At 40.9% G+C, this 14,899-nt stretch overlaps 1 protein-coding gene and 1 pseudogene across 1 annotated transcript, besides 1 other annotated feature; both read right to left on the bottom strand.

Moving 5' to 3' along the window:
* Nucleotides 1–654: 654 nt before the first annotated feature.
* Nucleotides 655–2,866, bottom strand: ATOH1 (atonal bHLH transcription factor 1). Its single transcript, NM_005172.2, has one exon. The coding sequence runs from the start codon at nucleotides 2,690–2,692 to the stop codon at nucleotides 1,628–1,630; it is 1,065 nt and encodes a 354-aa protein (NP_005163.1). The 5' UTR covers nucleotides 2,693–2,866; the 3' UTR covers nucleotides 655–1,627.
* Nucleotides 4,044–4,749: an enhancer, noted in NCBI's record as "H3K4me1 hESC enhancer chr4:94748021-94748726 (GRCh37/hg19 assembly coordinates)". NCBI's record gives its function as "activates a minimal SCP1, AML or CMV promoter by ChIP-STARR-seq in primed H9 embryonic stem cells {active_cell/tissue: H9 hESC(primed)}" and the evidence as "EXISTENCE:reporter gene assay evidence [ECO:0000049][PMID:30033119]".
* Nucleotides 11,339–11,448, bottom strand: RNA5SP164 (RNA, 5S ribosomal pseudogene 164; annotated as a pseudogene).

Genomic DNA, 14,899 nt, shown 5'->3' with positions numbered 1-14,899 from the left:
AGACAAAATAAAGACAGACATTAGCTTCTACATTGGGAGAAACAGAATTGTGTGAAAAGAAAAAAATGAGTGGAGGTCAACAAATTCCCAGGGCAACTACACACTTCTAATTTTTGAATCAATTAATCCCATTCCTTTTTTTCCCTCAAGTTTTTTTCTGTTATCATCTTTGTCTCTTCTGGTCTTCTTCTCCCAGAAGAGAGAGAGAGAGAGGCATAGACAGTGTGCACTGCGCTTGACCTATGTGAAAAATTTTCAGCTTGAGTAGGTTTTATGAGTGGACATAGCTAACCCTGGTAAAGTTAACTACTCCAGGCTAGGTTCTAGCAAACCTAAAACTTATGGCCTCCCCCCCTTGCAGATGTTGTTGGGGCAAGGAGTAAAGAAGACTGGGAAGATCCTGGCCATCAAAGAGGCAAAACTGTGCTGCAAATTTGGAAGAAGTTTTATCTCACAATTTAATTATTGACTTGAGTGCTTTTCTTTGAAGGGGTTTTGATACTACCTGAAGGCACCAAGTTTACAACATTTTTCTTCAAAACTGTAAGATCGCATAAATGACATTGAATAGAAGACTTAACTCAATTCTTCAAAGTCATTCATTTGAAAATTGTTTTCAGTAGTTATACTCAAGGAATAAGTGACAAAAGGCTTCTTTTCACATTTATTTTAATCATTTGCAAAACAAAATACATTAAACAAGGGCAGTTGGCTTTGCTAAATTAAAATAAAATGATCTCGAGTAGAAAACGTAAAAAATGAATCAAGATAAGTAGAAATGGTAGCAAACAATAATAAATAAGTTTTCTAATATTAACAAAGCAAAATAAAATTGACCAAATGCGTTTGACACTACTAGATTTTTTTTAATTTTTCATTTTTTAAACAAACATTTGCAAAGAGCTTAAGAATTATAAGTGGCTGTGTTTAAAAAAAAAAAAACTGGTCTGCAATTGGCAGTTGAGTTTCTCCTGGAGCCACCACCGCAGCAGCGGCTGATAAAGTGCGTGCGCGGAGTTTCCTAAAAGACGCCAACGTTCTCGCGATCGGATGCACATACTGGGTATGTTTATACAATATATAAACCTTAAAGTTTCTTGTTTTCTAACAATTCCATAGTCAAAAGTTATCCACTTTGGAAGCACTAATTTTGCGTTTCATTGTGCATTTTGGAAAACAACTTCGGAAGACTAAATCTCCCACACTTGAGTGCGCAACACACAAGGATGGATGCCCAGGGCGTAAAATAAATTAAACCCAAACCAGTGACAGAGAAGATGCGACGTTTTAGCAGCGTATTGGCAGCAGGGAACTAGAATAATGATGCCATATACGGGTACCTACAATTATACCGTATCTATCTAAAGGGGGAGCAGAAGGTGGGCGGAAAGGACACAATTTTAACAGAAAGTTTTCATCAAACAATATGGACCGTAGGAAGTTTGGAACAGCGGCGGCATTTGCAAACCATCAAATGTAGCTGCCATCTGAAGCCAAGTCGTTGCTAAACAACGACCATCGCAGAGCAAAAATTAAAGGGTGCGGGGATCTTTAACCGCGGGGCTTCCCGCGCACTGGGAAAGGGCAGTTTTGTTTCTGTCTCAGTTTTCAGGCTTCTGTCACCTTCCTAACTTGCCTCATCCGAGTCACTGTAATGGGAATGGGGGGAAAATTCCCCGTCGCTTCTGTGGGACCGAGGCGAAGTTTTGCTGTTTTCCTCCTGCACTGGCTGCAAGATGCTCCCGGGGAGAGAAGGAGACAAATTCTTTTGCGCCATCATCGCTGTCAGGGCGCTGTCCTCGAAAGTCGAGAAGTGCAGAGCGTCCAGCTGCACCGAGTACCCTCCCGCAGAAGCTGGGGCTGAGAAGCGAGTCCGGCAACTCCCGGGCGGGGTCGGCCGCTGGCTCCCTCCGGAAGCCTGCTGAGCCCCAGCTGCGGTCGCGTTGCCCGCGCCCCCTTCATAGGAGGCCGCGGTGCGAAGGTGGTGGTGGTCGCTTTTGCAGGAGGCTGGAGGCGGCGGTGGCTGTTCCCCTCCGCTGGGCGTTTGTAGCAGCTCGGACAAGGCGTTGATGTAGATTTGGGCCATCTGCAGGGTCTCATATTTGGACAGCTTCTTGTCGTTGTTGAACGACGGGATAACATTGCGCAGCTGGTCGAAGGCGTGGTTCAGCCCATGCATCCTGCGCCGCTCCCTGGCGTTGGCTGCTAGCCGTCTCTGCTTCTGCACCCCATTCACCTGTTTGCTGGAAGGGGCCCGTTGGCGGCTGCAGCCCAGCTCGTCTACCACCACCCCGCCTTTCAGCTTGCACAGCTGTTCCCGCACTTTCACCGGCCCGGGGCTCTTGCTGCTGCTGGCACCGCCGCTGCTCCTCCTTACCAGCTCCCCCCGGCCGTCCACCTCGTCCCGGGGCGCAGCGGCCTCTGAGGCACCCAGCTCCGGGGAATGTAGCAAATACTGGGCGGCGCGTGCCGTGCAGATGCCCTGCAAAGTGGGAGCCAGCCAGGCGCGTGGGTCGGTGCTGTCCAGGAGGGACAGCTCAGGCGGGTAGACGGGATGCTCTCTCGCCTGCAAAGTTGCAGGTGGCTGCGGCGGCGGCGGCGGTTGCGGGAGATGATGCGGCTGGGGCTGGCGATGGTGGTCTCCCAACTCCTTCACTTCAGCCCACTCTTCTGCATGCAGCAGGCGGGACATTGCACTGCAAAGGCTCGGAGGCTCAGGATCGGAGGCAGCACTGGGACACCAGCTCAACCAAAAAAAAGGCCCTTTCCGGGTCTCTTCTGCAACGTCTTATTTTTTTTTCCCTCCTCGACCCTCCCCCACCCACTCGGAGATCACACACCAGGTCGCGTGCAACTATGCTTCTCCGGTTGCTGAAGGCGCTGCGCCCCTTTAAAAAGCGGCACGCGCCACTCAGTCTCCCCCCGCTCCTCTCCCAACCCCCTCCTCGCGCCGGTCGCGTGTCTTCTCAGCCAATGGAGGGCGCGGGCAGGCGCGTGCGAGCAGCCAATCAAAGAGTTTTTACACCCCGAGAAAAGTTCTTGTGTGCAGAGGACTCCCAAGCCTGCTCAGGTTTTTTTTTTTTTTTCCTTCTTTTAAATTCGTCAGATTCATATGTTAATTGCAGGGCTGTAATTCGACTCCGGTGTGTGTCACCACCCCGGCGGCTGGGGTGCGGGAGCGGTGCGGAGCCGGCTCTCGGCTGGTGCCCAAGCTGACTCGGGTCAGATGTGCACGACCGCGGGCGGCTCTGGGCGATTCTGGACCCGCCAGGCGCCCAGAAGCCACTCAAAGCAGAGAGAAGGCCGCCTACCCTGTGCTGCCCCCAAGCTAGGATCACAGCTCCCACTTCTGATGCCCAAGCATTTACGATTTCTCATGTATAATAGGATGTTTGTATTTATGTATGCAGGTATTTATAAATCTCTCATGCATGTTCATAGATATATAACTGCTACATGACGTCCATCATTTAAGATTGCTGTTGGAATAAAGGGGGAAAACCCACTCGTCTCAGAGTATGTTTCTTACTTTTGCTCCATCTTTTCATTTTTTACTTCAGATCTCTTAGTTCGACTTCGTCATATGATCTTTTTCTTAATGGAAAATAGAGCTGCGGTGTAGTGATAGCACACCAAATTCCAGATCCCCCAATTCTCTCTGTCCCCTTTCCCCAGCACCCTGCGGCCAATTAGGATTGTAATCTGCCTAAATCTCTCCGTTGAGTGTAATTTAGGGCCAGAATATTTTACGGTATTATGCAGAGTTTCAACACACACAGTAGGACTCCTCATTAAATGCCCAGCCAGGGGAGGGTGCCCAAAGTAAAATGAAAGGCGCCTGCATTCCCTGCAATCCTTAACACTTTCAAGGCACAGAAGTCCCAAGTTACCTACCCTTTTGCCTCGATCGCCCTCTCTTTACTGCGGGCTCGTGGCTTCCTCAGTTTAACCTCCTCCCGCCCCTCCGTTTAGTTAGGGTGGGCTTCCCCTTTCCAGCCCCCACCCCCACCCCACTCCGCCCCATACAATCAGGGAGGTCCTTGGCAAGGGGGGGAGGCCAATTCCCAGGTGAACGCCCCCTCCGGTCCTATTAGCCTCGGCCTAGTCTATTCACAGCAAAGAGCCAATCAGAAGCTCATTGGCCCTGGGCGCGCCCCAGCTTGCGCCCAGCGCGCCCTGGCTCTGGCTCCGGGCGCTCTCCTGCACCGCCCCTGGGGCGCGGGAGTGCGATGCAACCTGTTGATGCTACTGTTGCTTTTACTTTCCCAGTGGCTGTAATCCCGAAAGGAGTCTCATCCTCTAGGAGAGATGTTAAAAAAGAGCCCAAGAGATAGCTCCCTGGAATATGTCTTTGCAATGTCCAGAGGCAGTTGAATGTTGTTTTCGCAAACATTTGCCGGGGCTTGATCTAACCTGTCATCTAGAACTCCTTGGGCAGTAGATTTTCTGGGACTGGACTGGACATATCCTATAAAGATACAGAATGGCAGAATAGGGTGCTAAAATGATGTTTAAGACATTATTCTTCACCTGTTTCTTCTTCAACCTCGTCTGTTTGCTGGTGTCTAGGAATAGTCTTGGGCGTATCTTACGTGCCAGAAACTTCAGAGCTTTATTCTTGTGTGAATGTTTGGGCTCTGCTGAAATAAATGTTAAAGACACACAAAAGCAACAACAAAAAACAAACCTAATCTGAAAACCATCCATGAGAACAAAGAAAAAGAAAAGGCCATCTAATGTATTTTTTTTTTTTTGGGCAGAAAATTCTCCGTTTGGTGATTGAAGTGGGTGTTATTGAAATCGACTAATAATGCTGTTACTATAAATAGTGCTACCATATAAAATGTGCTTCTTGAGAAAATAATTGCTAGTAGCTGTAGATGCTTAAGTAGAACTTTCAGAGAGACAATTAACTGTCATCTATATATGTATGGCAGTGTAAGCAGCTAGTGCCTGGTAGTATCGGTTGTCTATATTGCATTTTTTTCCCTATACGTCCACTTTTTTTTCCAACTCTATCAGCTGAAAATTAATCCCGAAATTCTTTCACATAATGTCACTACCAAATGTGTAGGATGCCCAAATTTTCCTTGAGCTTGCATCATCCAAACTTTGTGCTTTAAATTTGATTGTATAATACACAATATTCACTTTCCTTTGAGTTTCAACAGTTTTATGGGCTGTAGTGAAATATTTGCTGAATATATAGAATATTGGTCCTAATATGCCAGGGTTACATATAACCTTTAGTATTATTACTTTTTTGAAGCAAACGTCAATTTTTAGGTGAGTAAATTAGAATGTTCCAGTAATGTGAGGGACAGTAAGAGTTTTGGTAGTTTACGGTGAAATATATTTATTTGGCCCTTAAAATAAGTAGGGACCTATTCTTCTCCTCCCTCCCTCCCTTTTTCTTCTCTTCTTTCTCCCCCATTAGGCAGAGCTGAGGAAGCTTGTCATCTGAACTGGGGAAGGGGGCACAGGGCCTTGAGCATGGGGTTGGAGTCTGAATAGTGTGATCAGGACATCCTTAAGGACAGTGTGTGTCATAGGATGTCAAAACACCTGTATTAGTTCCTTCTCACACTGCTTTGAAGAAATACCTGAGTCTGAGTAATTTATAAAGGAAGGAGGTTTAAATGACTCAGAGTTTCACATTGCTGGGGAGGCCTCAGGAAACCTACAATCATGGTGGAAGGCAAGGGCGAAGCAGGCACCTTCTTCACAGGGGGGCAGGATGGAGTAAGTGCAAGCAGGGGAAACGCCAGGCACTTATAAAACTATCAGATCTCATGAGACTCATTCATTATCACGAGAACAGCATGGGGGAAACTGTCCCCATGATCCAATTACCTCCACCTGGGGCTGCCCTTGACACGTGGGGATTATGGGGATTACAATTCAAGGTGAGATTTGGATGGGGACATAGGGCCAAATCATATCAACAACAAATTGAGTATCTGTGGGAGCTGGATGATGGCAGCAGCAGCACAGCCTGAGGTATCACAGTTTAAGCAGAGAGAGCTTCTAGTGTGTGTGGGCAGCCAGATTAGTTACATACAGAAGGATGAATGCAAAAAAGTAAATATTTGAGGAGAACGAGAATAGATTTCTCACTGTCAGAGAAGGGAGTTGCAAATATGGAAATGGAGGAAGCTGTGGTGATAGATTTGAATTGGAGGTTTGAATATGAGTTTCTAGTTTTTAATATATATGAATAGATGATATAGAAATAAATATATATAAATGTCATGCCTGTGTGTGTGTGTGTGTGTGTGTGTGTACCTATGTATTTTGTAGTTCTTTTCACTCTCAGTGTCTCAGTGCCTGAGATTAGCAATTGAACATATCTAGCTCCCAGATTTCAGTTTCTCAATAATGTTCTGCACTAAAAAGAGCTAGGGTTCTTGGAAAAATCATTTGATTTCAGGGATGAAGCAGAAAAAACACAAGATAACAAAAACCTCTTGTTTTCTCAGAAATAAGGAAGTGTTCAAAGAATGATGGAGACATGTCAAAGTACTGTAGAAGCTTGCTTGAAGCAGCTTCCGCTGACAACCCGTAGGACAATTTGAGTATCAAAATAAGTAATGGCAGTGACAGATTATCTTCCTGAGAAATAAAGAAATCCATGAATCTTAGACAGAACAAATAAATGCCTGAAGGTTTGAGAAATAATTATTAGTTACAAAATATTTATTGATTGCAAGTAAAATAAAATTGACTCTACCATGGAGATGTATAGCAGACACCAACTTTATCAAGTGATCAAAGTTAACATCACCAGTAATGAGACAGAACAAATTTAATTTATATGCCTTCTGTTAGGATGCAGAGAATGTATTATTACTTCTATGATATTCCTGCCAAAGATGCATATCCTGAAGCCAGTTGAGAGAAAACACCAAACCAATCTATAAAGAAAGTCTAGAAAATAACCAGCCTGTAATCTTTAAAAGTGTCAAGATTGTGAAAGACAGATCAAGTCTCTATTCCAAGGTGAACCAAGGAACTATTCCAGGGTAGAGGTGGATAAAGAGAATGATAATACATCTGATGCCTGATTCTAAACTAGGTCCTTTTCTAATAAAGAACATCATTGAAACAATTGACAAAATTGGTGTCTGGGAAATAGATGGTAACAAGTTAATTTCCTCATTTTGATTGTTATATTTTGGTTACATCAGAGAATGTCCTCCTTTTCAGGGAATACTCAAAGTATTCAGAAAAAATGGGCGGCTTACTCTATAATGATTTTGTGAAAAAGGTCCTTTGTACTGTACTTACAACTTTTTTGTTAGTTTGAGATTGTTTCAGAATAAAAAGTGAAAACACTAGAAACCAAACAGGCATATTTACTTTGCTCTTTAGATGCCTAGAGTTACTAGTTCAAGTCAATTCAAGCATTATCTCTAGTGTTTTGAGGCCTGTAGTTACTGCTGAAACTTTAAGTTAAATTTTGCTCCACCCAGCCATGGTACAGTATATATCCAATGGCTTTAAGAAATCTCAGATTTTAAGGACTATTCCAATTAAAGAACTGTAATATTTCTCAAGAGGTGTAAATAAATTGAAAATTAATTTGAAATGTGTTCTCCTATAGGTTATTTTAAATAAGAATTTCCAGGTCAAGATGAATTATCCTAAGCAGTTTCTCATAGTGTCACAGATATTAACAAACAAGCAAAAACCAAAAAAAGTGTTTTTTTTAACCATTTGTTGTAGCCTTAACAGTGGGAAATAATTAAGCATTTATCCTATCATTTCTATATGAAGTATTTCAGAGTAATCAAGTAGCTTTAGTAATGACAGAAGAATATTTTAGAGTAATTCCATATAATAAAAGTAGAAGAAATAAGAGCTTTAGAAAAATCAACATTTTGCATCTCCTAATGAAAATTTTATTGAGGCAATGATTAAGAATAAATGAAACAATAGATCAAAGTATTTTGAGGAATTTTATAATGAAGGAATCAATCTGTCACTCCTTGAAATCACGGATCAATTTTAGCATCGTTTGGAGTGGGAGACCCTGATATGACGTGCTTCTTGCTTTCATGGATTATACACTACATAGTCCCCTATGAAGTATTCCTTAAAAAAAGAAAGTAAACCTGAATTTTATTAAGACTTTGAGATAACCTTCTGCTTACAGGAAATATGGAGGACATCATATTAAGTTAGATGATACCACAAGAATACAAAAAAACAAACCTATATTGTGAAACATTCTGTAGAACTAGTGTTCAGTATCAGTAAGGCTGTGACATGAAGAAAAATGGAGGGAAATGAGGAGGGACCCATCTTGATTAGGATAATCTTTAGATACAGCATCTAATGCAATGTGTGGACCTTGTTTGGATTTGGGTTCAAACAAGCTCACAATGAAAGAATTTTTAAAAAAATTATAAAAGATAAATTTGAACTCAGTATTAGAGGATACCAGTGAGTTATTATTAATTGTTTTAGGTACTATAAAAACAATGTGATTGTCTAGCAAGCTAGAGATACATGCAGAAGCAAATAGAGGTGAAATAACATGAAGTCTACGATTTGCTTTAAAGTACTTTATCAGCAATATTAATAATATGAAAAATGAATAGTAAGGCAAATATAGAGAAATCTTGATAATTGATGGATATGGTGATATAAAGATTCATTACTGTTAGTACTACTTGTACATAAAAATTTTCACAATAAAAACTATTCAAAAATCCTGTAGCATCTCACTGTTTATCATTTCAACCACATAGCTTAGTTCAACATTTAAACACCTGTGACACGGTCCTAACTTATGTTTCTAGACTGAAATTGTGTTATTCCATTAACACAGTGGTTCTTAAATTGTGATCCAGTGACCATCTACCTACATGATAATCACTTGTGATTTTTCACTTAGAAGGTAAATTCCTGGGCCCCTTCAATTCCACCAAGTCAACTTTGTGAATGAGGCCCAGTCATGTATTTTAAATAAGCACCCCTAGGGATTGTTAGGCATGCCCCAGTTTGTGAAACATTGCTCTGAAAGTTTCCCTGTGCTCTATTCAGCTACCTTATAGTTCTTAAAACATGTATTTTCTGTCACCACCAGTACACGAATCCAAATACCTATTATCCAGTCCTGTCTGCTAAAATGTAATTGAAATTTCGAGATCTAGGTCAAATGCTACCTCCTCTAGTAATTCTTCCCATGTGTCCTTCTCTGGGAGGGATTCATTAAATTACCATCTATCCTTCAACAAGGAGGTGAAGACAAGGTGTTTGAGTCTAATACTACACTAACAGCTTGTTAGAGAAGTTCAAAGTCACATTTATTATAGTTCCTAAACTTATCTAAGATTAATTGACCCCCAAGAAATGTAAACATCTTCATAATTTTATACTATAGGTATTAGTTATCTATCGTTACATAAAAAATTTCCTCCATAGTCCTTAAAACTATAAATAATTATTATATTACAGTTTATGAGGATCAGAGATCCTGAAGCTGCTTGGCTGGGTGACCCTGGTTTAGGATCTCTCGTGAGGTTGCTGTCAAGATGTCAGCTGGGGCTATAGTCATCTGAAGGCTTGGCTGGGACTGGAGGATCAACTTTCACAATGGCTCATTCACCTGGATTGGAAAGTTAGTGTTGCCTGTTGGTAGGAGGCCTCAGTTTCTCTCCATGTGAATCTCTACCCCAGAGCAAGTGATTCAAGGGAGAAAGACATAAGTCACAATATCATTTAGATCTATACTTGGAAGTTACACTCTATCATTTCTGCCATATTCTAATCATTAGAGTTGAGTTACTAAGTCAAGTCTACACTCAGAAAGGGTAATTAGGCCCAGAAGGGAAGGAAAGAATATAAAACCGTTTGTGGACGTAGGTTAAAACTACCAAAATATCCCTTTGTTTTACATCAATTTCTCTGTTCCTTTTGCAAAATTTAATTCCTCTTTATTTTACTGAGGTGGGGAAACATGTTCAGTAAAGTGAGATAAAGGTAGCAGAATTTGGTGAACCACAAGTGAAGAAAAAATTCAGACTTTTCTGTTCCTGCAAGAACTTCAAATGGCATGTGTTCCAAAACTTTATTCATAAGTCTGCCATTTACACTCTCCACAGTAACCATATTATGGTAGTTAATTTCCATTGTATTTTCTTTCCTTCCATTTTTGTGATATCTCTTTATTTCAAAGTCATATTTGTGAATTTGTTTTAAATTTATATAAGTATATCCTGAGCATTTATCTAATGGTCATTACTGATGGCTAAGGATAGTGATATGCCGGTAAATGCATAATAATTTACTCTTTGGAAAAAGTGCACACGTATTATAACAATATAAATCTATTAAGCATTTTATTGATATAAAGAATGCATGGCAGTTTGTAAATAACAATAAAATATTCAAAGTTTGTTATTGGAAATCCTCTAGATCTAACAGATTCTCACAGAATCCTTGATTTCATTGATTTTTGCCATTCTTGTATCCCTAACTAATCAATGATTGCAACTGATGAACAAATGTAGTTCCCACATGAATGTTGGTTGGTATTTTTCATTTGTGGTTAATGAGTAAGATGAAAGTGAAATGACAATGAAGCTGTTTGTCAGAATTCATTTGAGAATCAATGACGTGTGCAACTTCTTTGCTGAGTAGGATAATAGTTTTCAAATACTGGAAGAATACGTGCTCAATCTTTTGTGCTATTCATGTAATGGCTACAGACTTTGATATACTTTTCAGTTTAGTCTGCATTATTAATATTTTCTCTATCGCTTTCTTAAGACTAGACAATCAATAAAACAATAAATCCAGCCAGGATTTGTGGCATTTGCTAATTTCTGTTGGTGTAAATACGAATGTTGCTAAATCAAACGGACATTTTCTTAGGCTATATATTAATTGACCTGCTCTTCAACTTTTGACATAGTTGAACACATTCTTTTCAAATCTATCTTTTCTCTTGACTTGGGAATACCATATTCTTTGTTAGTTCTCCCTTCTTCTCAGGTTGTTCCTTCTTGATGTCTCTTAAGGAGACTTTTCCCTTACTAGGCTTGGTACCATGCTCTAATTTCCTCTTAATCCATATATGTCATCTATATTCCAATCAATACCAAATTCTTATCTCTAGCCCAGTCCTTTTTCAATGATTTTCACTGCTCTTAAAATAAGCACAAACATCAATAAACAACACTAATTTGGAGCATCACTAATGTTTCCCTGAGGAAGTAAAAAGTGAAAGTTGAAAAAGAGTTAGCTCAGGAAAGGTGAACCCACAAGCAACAATTAGAACAGCAGCAGCAGCAACAGCAAGAACAGCAATGGCAACAAAGGATCCCTTCACAGTGGTCCTTATGTCTTCTGTCTCCCATTCAAGTATTAACCAGGCGCAAACCTGCTTAGCTTCTGAGATCAGACAAGATCAGGCATGTTCATTTATCTCTTCTTTCTCACCTCCACCACTCTTCCACTCTTTCATGGTCTTCTAGGCACATTGGTCTTCTTTACTTGCTCATATTACCAAGCGTCTTCCCACCTCAGGGCTTTCACACAAATGCTATAGTTTTTTTGGTCTTGCCTGTCCCTTTCTTATCTAGTTATCATCTGCTCAACTTTAAAGTTGTATTTCCTCAGGAAAGCATTCCCTGGTTTCCCAGAATAGGGTTGTTCCATGTTTTACATGTTTTATGATACAGAATGAGCATCCTAAATCCAAAAAATCCAAAATCTTCCAAAGTTGCAAATTTTTTGGGAGCCAAGATGACACCACAAGTGCAAAGTCCCACACCTGATCTCATGTGATGGGTTGCAGTCAAAATGCAGTCAAAACTTTCCTCTATGTGCAAAATTATTTAAAATATTGTATAAAATTACTTTGAGGCTATGCATGTGGGTGCATTTGAAATAAATGAATTTTGTGTTTGGACTTGGATCTCATCCCCAAGATATCTCATTATATGCAAATATTCCAAAATCAGAAAAAAATCAAAATCCAAAACACTTTTGCTCCCAACCATTTTGGAATACTCAACCTAGACCTTATATTTGTTTCCTTAGTATTGAAAATCATTATCAACAATTATCTGTGTCATTATTTATTTAATATTTGTTTCTCCTCTGTCTCCCTCCATCTCTGCCAGTGAGGCTATTCTGTTCACGGGCCCCTTGTGCAAGCACTGGGGTTGCTGAGGAAAGAAACTCGCTGACTTTCACTGGCTGAATCATCTTTACCACTTGGCTGTTCGGTGGTAGATGGTCTCCAGGGGATATTGATAGGAGACAAAAAGATCTGCACATTTTGTATTCACTTCTATGGATCCCTCTACATGAGTCTTCCTCATATCTTCTAGACCCCACTCTTCCAGTCTTGCTCCTTACAAGTCCATGATTAACCAGCCACTGCCCAGGAATTTATTTGTGTTCTTACCTCAGACCATTTCTCTCTTCATACAGAGCTGATGACAGAGTGAACCATGCAGGACTTCCCCTTAACACTGTTTTCCAAGGCCTCCTCTGAGACAGGCTGTAGTGCAACAGAGGCTTATTTTCATCTTGCAAACATATTAAGTCACCCTATCCATGAACCAAGCCTGAGATTTTCCTTCTCCATTTGCTATTTCTTCTCTACTAGCTCACTAAATATGAGGCATTGATGAAACTAAGTAAGTAATGTAAAGGTCTGGGACACTAGCGTGTGTAACTTACTTATGTTCTCTGAACCTGCTTCGATCTGATCCAGAATATACCATTTTCACAATATGATGAATTCCTATTGTGCCTCCCTCCACAAAGTTATGACTTGATGTAATATCAGGATAAAAGTAACTAGCCTCAGTTTCACAGTCACTTAATATTCCTTGGTTGGGAGTTCAGTCTCTATTTAGGTCCAGTAGCGTGACAGAATCTACTTTCAGAATGCTGAATAGTTCTCTGCTACAGATAGTACAGCTTGCTGCATGCCCTTGGTGGTCTTTGCTGTGATTCTTCTGTGGGGGCTTTCAGAAGATTGTACACGGCATTCTTATGTATCATCTCAAGTGCTTCTAGCATCATGGAATTTACTGAATCATATGACCTAAATGGCAGGGATGCTTGTTCCACAGCTTAAATCTGTTGCAAAGCCCCACTCAAAACTATTTGCCATCTGAGTCAATTGATAAAGGAGTCAGAGCTGTATTTCTAAATATGGCATGTGTTATTTCCAAAATCCAAAGAGGATTACCAGGCATTATACCTTTCTTCATGGCATAGATGCAAGGAGTAACAAGTTGCCCATTTCTTTGGGTGTGTTTTAGCATTTCACAAACTCATGGAATTCTTGAAACATCACCAATTTGGCTGAATCTTGGTCTTTGTAAGGTAAATCCCTGACCCTGTTCCATGAGAGGGCCGTATAGGCAAAGCAGCCCCCAAAATGCTGAAGGAGCTGGGAAATTGAACAAGGAGGCAGATGAATGTAGTTTGTTGGTAAGGAATGCTTTGCTGGGGGACTTACAGACAGAAACCTGATATTGGGTGGTCACTATACAGGTAGATTACACCTTTACTTTCCAGATTCAGGGCTTATATACCATGTGGAAGGGGTATAGGTGCTCCAGCAAGACAATCAAAGGTAGAACAGGCAAGAATACTATGTGGGTCATAGCCCATAATTTGCGTAATAACATCAAGGTTGACATGTTCTTACACTAGGAACAGTAAATACAGTAGGAATTGGGATGCGTCAGGGTGTCTGGGGCTAATGAGAAGACAGCATGGTGGATTTGCATTCAAGATGAAGCCACTTTGTCTCCACACACCCCCTGGGCCCACATATGCCTCACAAGGGCATTTCTTATAAAGCTTCTTTCTCCTCCCTAGGTCTAATCAAAATGATGTTCTGCAGATGTTCTGCAGAAGGTCCAGATGGCAAAGGTCCCTTTATAACAAGAACTATATTGTGAAGGAATGTTAGCATACCCCTTTTCAAGATCATGAATGTATGCTGTTGCTCATTCCAAGTGAATGTGAACTGCTTCTAATCAGCCTTTCTGATAAACTCACCAGATCAGTAACTACATAATAAATGTAGCAGTAGCCCGCCAGCCAAGATTGGGTAGCTAAAATATGCACTGAGAAAGAATTCAGGGAATAGTTTAACTAGAATTTCAGCTTTTGGTATTGACAGTGAAGCGGGATGCTTTTTTCCCTGAGTTGCCCTGGGGAGACGATTCTCCATTTCTGGTTTACAAGACCAGAGTATTGGATTATACTACAGGGGCACTTTCATTTAAGTAGTTTATTTATAATTAGGCTAGTGAGAGGTATAAGGGTGAGGCCACTTAGTTCAGTTCCCCGTAGTCTATTGTCATCTGCCATGATCCAACTGATTTTTTGCAGGTATCAGACTAGCAAATTAAATAGGCACATAATAGAGATCACACTATTCCTGTCTCTTTTACTGGCACACATACTTTGAGAATGATACTCTGTAGTTTCATCTAGTATGTGATATTTTTCTGATTTAGTATCTTGGAGGAGGTACACTTTCAGACACTGTCACTTGGCTTTTTCTGCCACTATAGTTTTTAATTCAAGGGTTAGGGAGGAAATGTGAGGTTTCTGACAACTGCTAAGCTTATCCATCTAAGTGATACACTTAAGGACTGGAAAAGTGACCATTACCTTTATGCCCATTGGACCCTTGTCAGATGAACTTGGGCAGGAGCCTATTTATCACCTGATCTTCACATGCTCTCATTGTAGCAAAAGATCCATGATGGCATTTTGCTTCTTCTGCTATCAGTGTCAGCTCATACCCTGTATTTTAAAAAATTAATATTTGCGGGGTTTTTAAATTTCCCAAGTATATTCTGGCAACTATTTGTAGGTCCATTTGCAAAAGGATTGGAGGAGTCCTCAAGGT

The sequence above is a fragment of the Homo sapiens genome, chromosome 4, assembly GCF_000001405.40.
Source record: "Homo sapiens chromosome 4, GRCh38.p14 Primary Assembly".
Taxonomy (NCBI): domain Eukaryota; kingdom Metazoa; phylum Chordata; class Mammalia; order Primates; family Hominidae; genus Homo; species Homo sapiens.
This window is presented reverse-complemented; position numbering and strand designations above follow the sequence as displayed.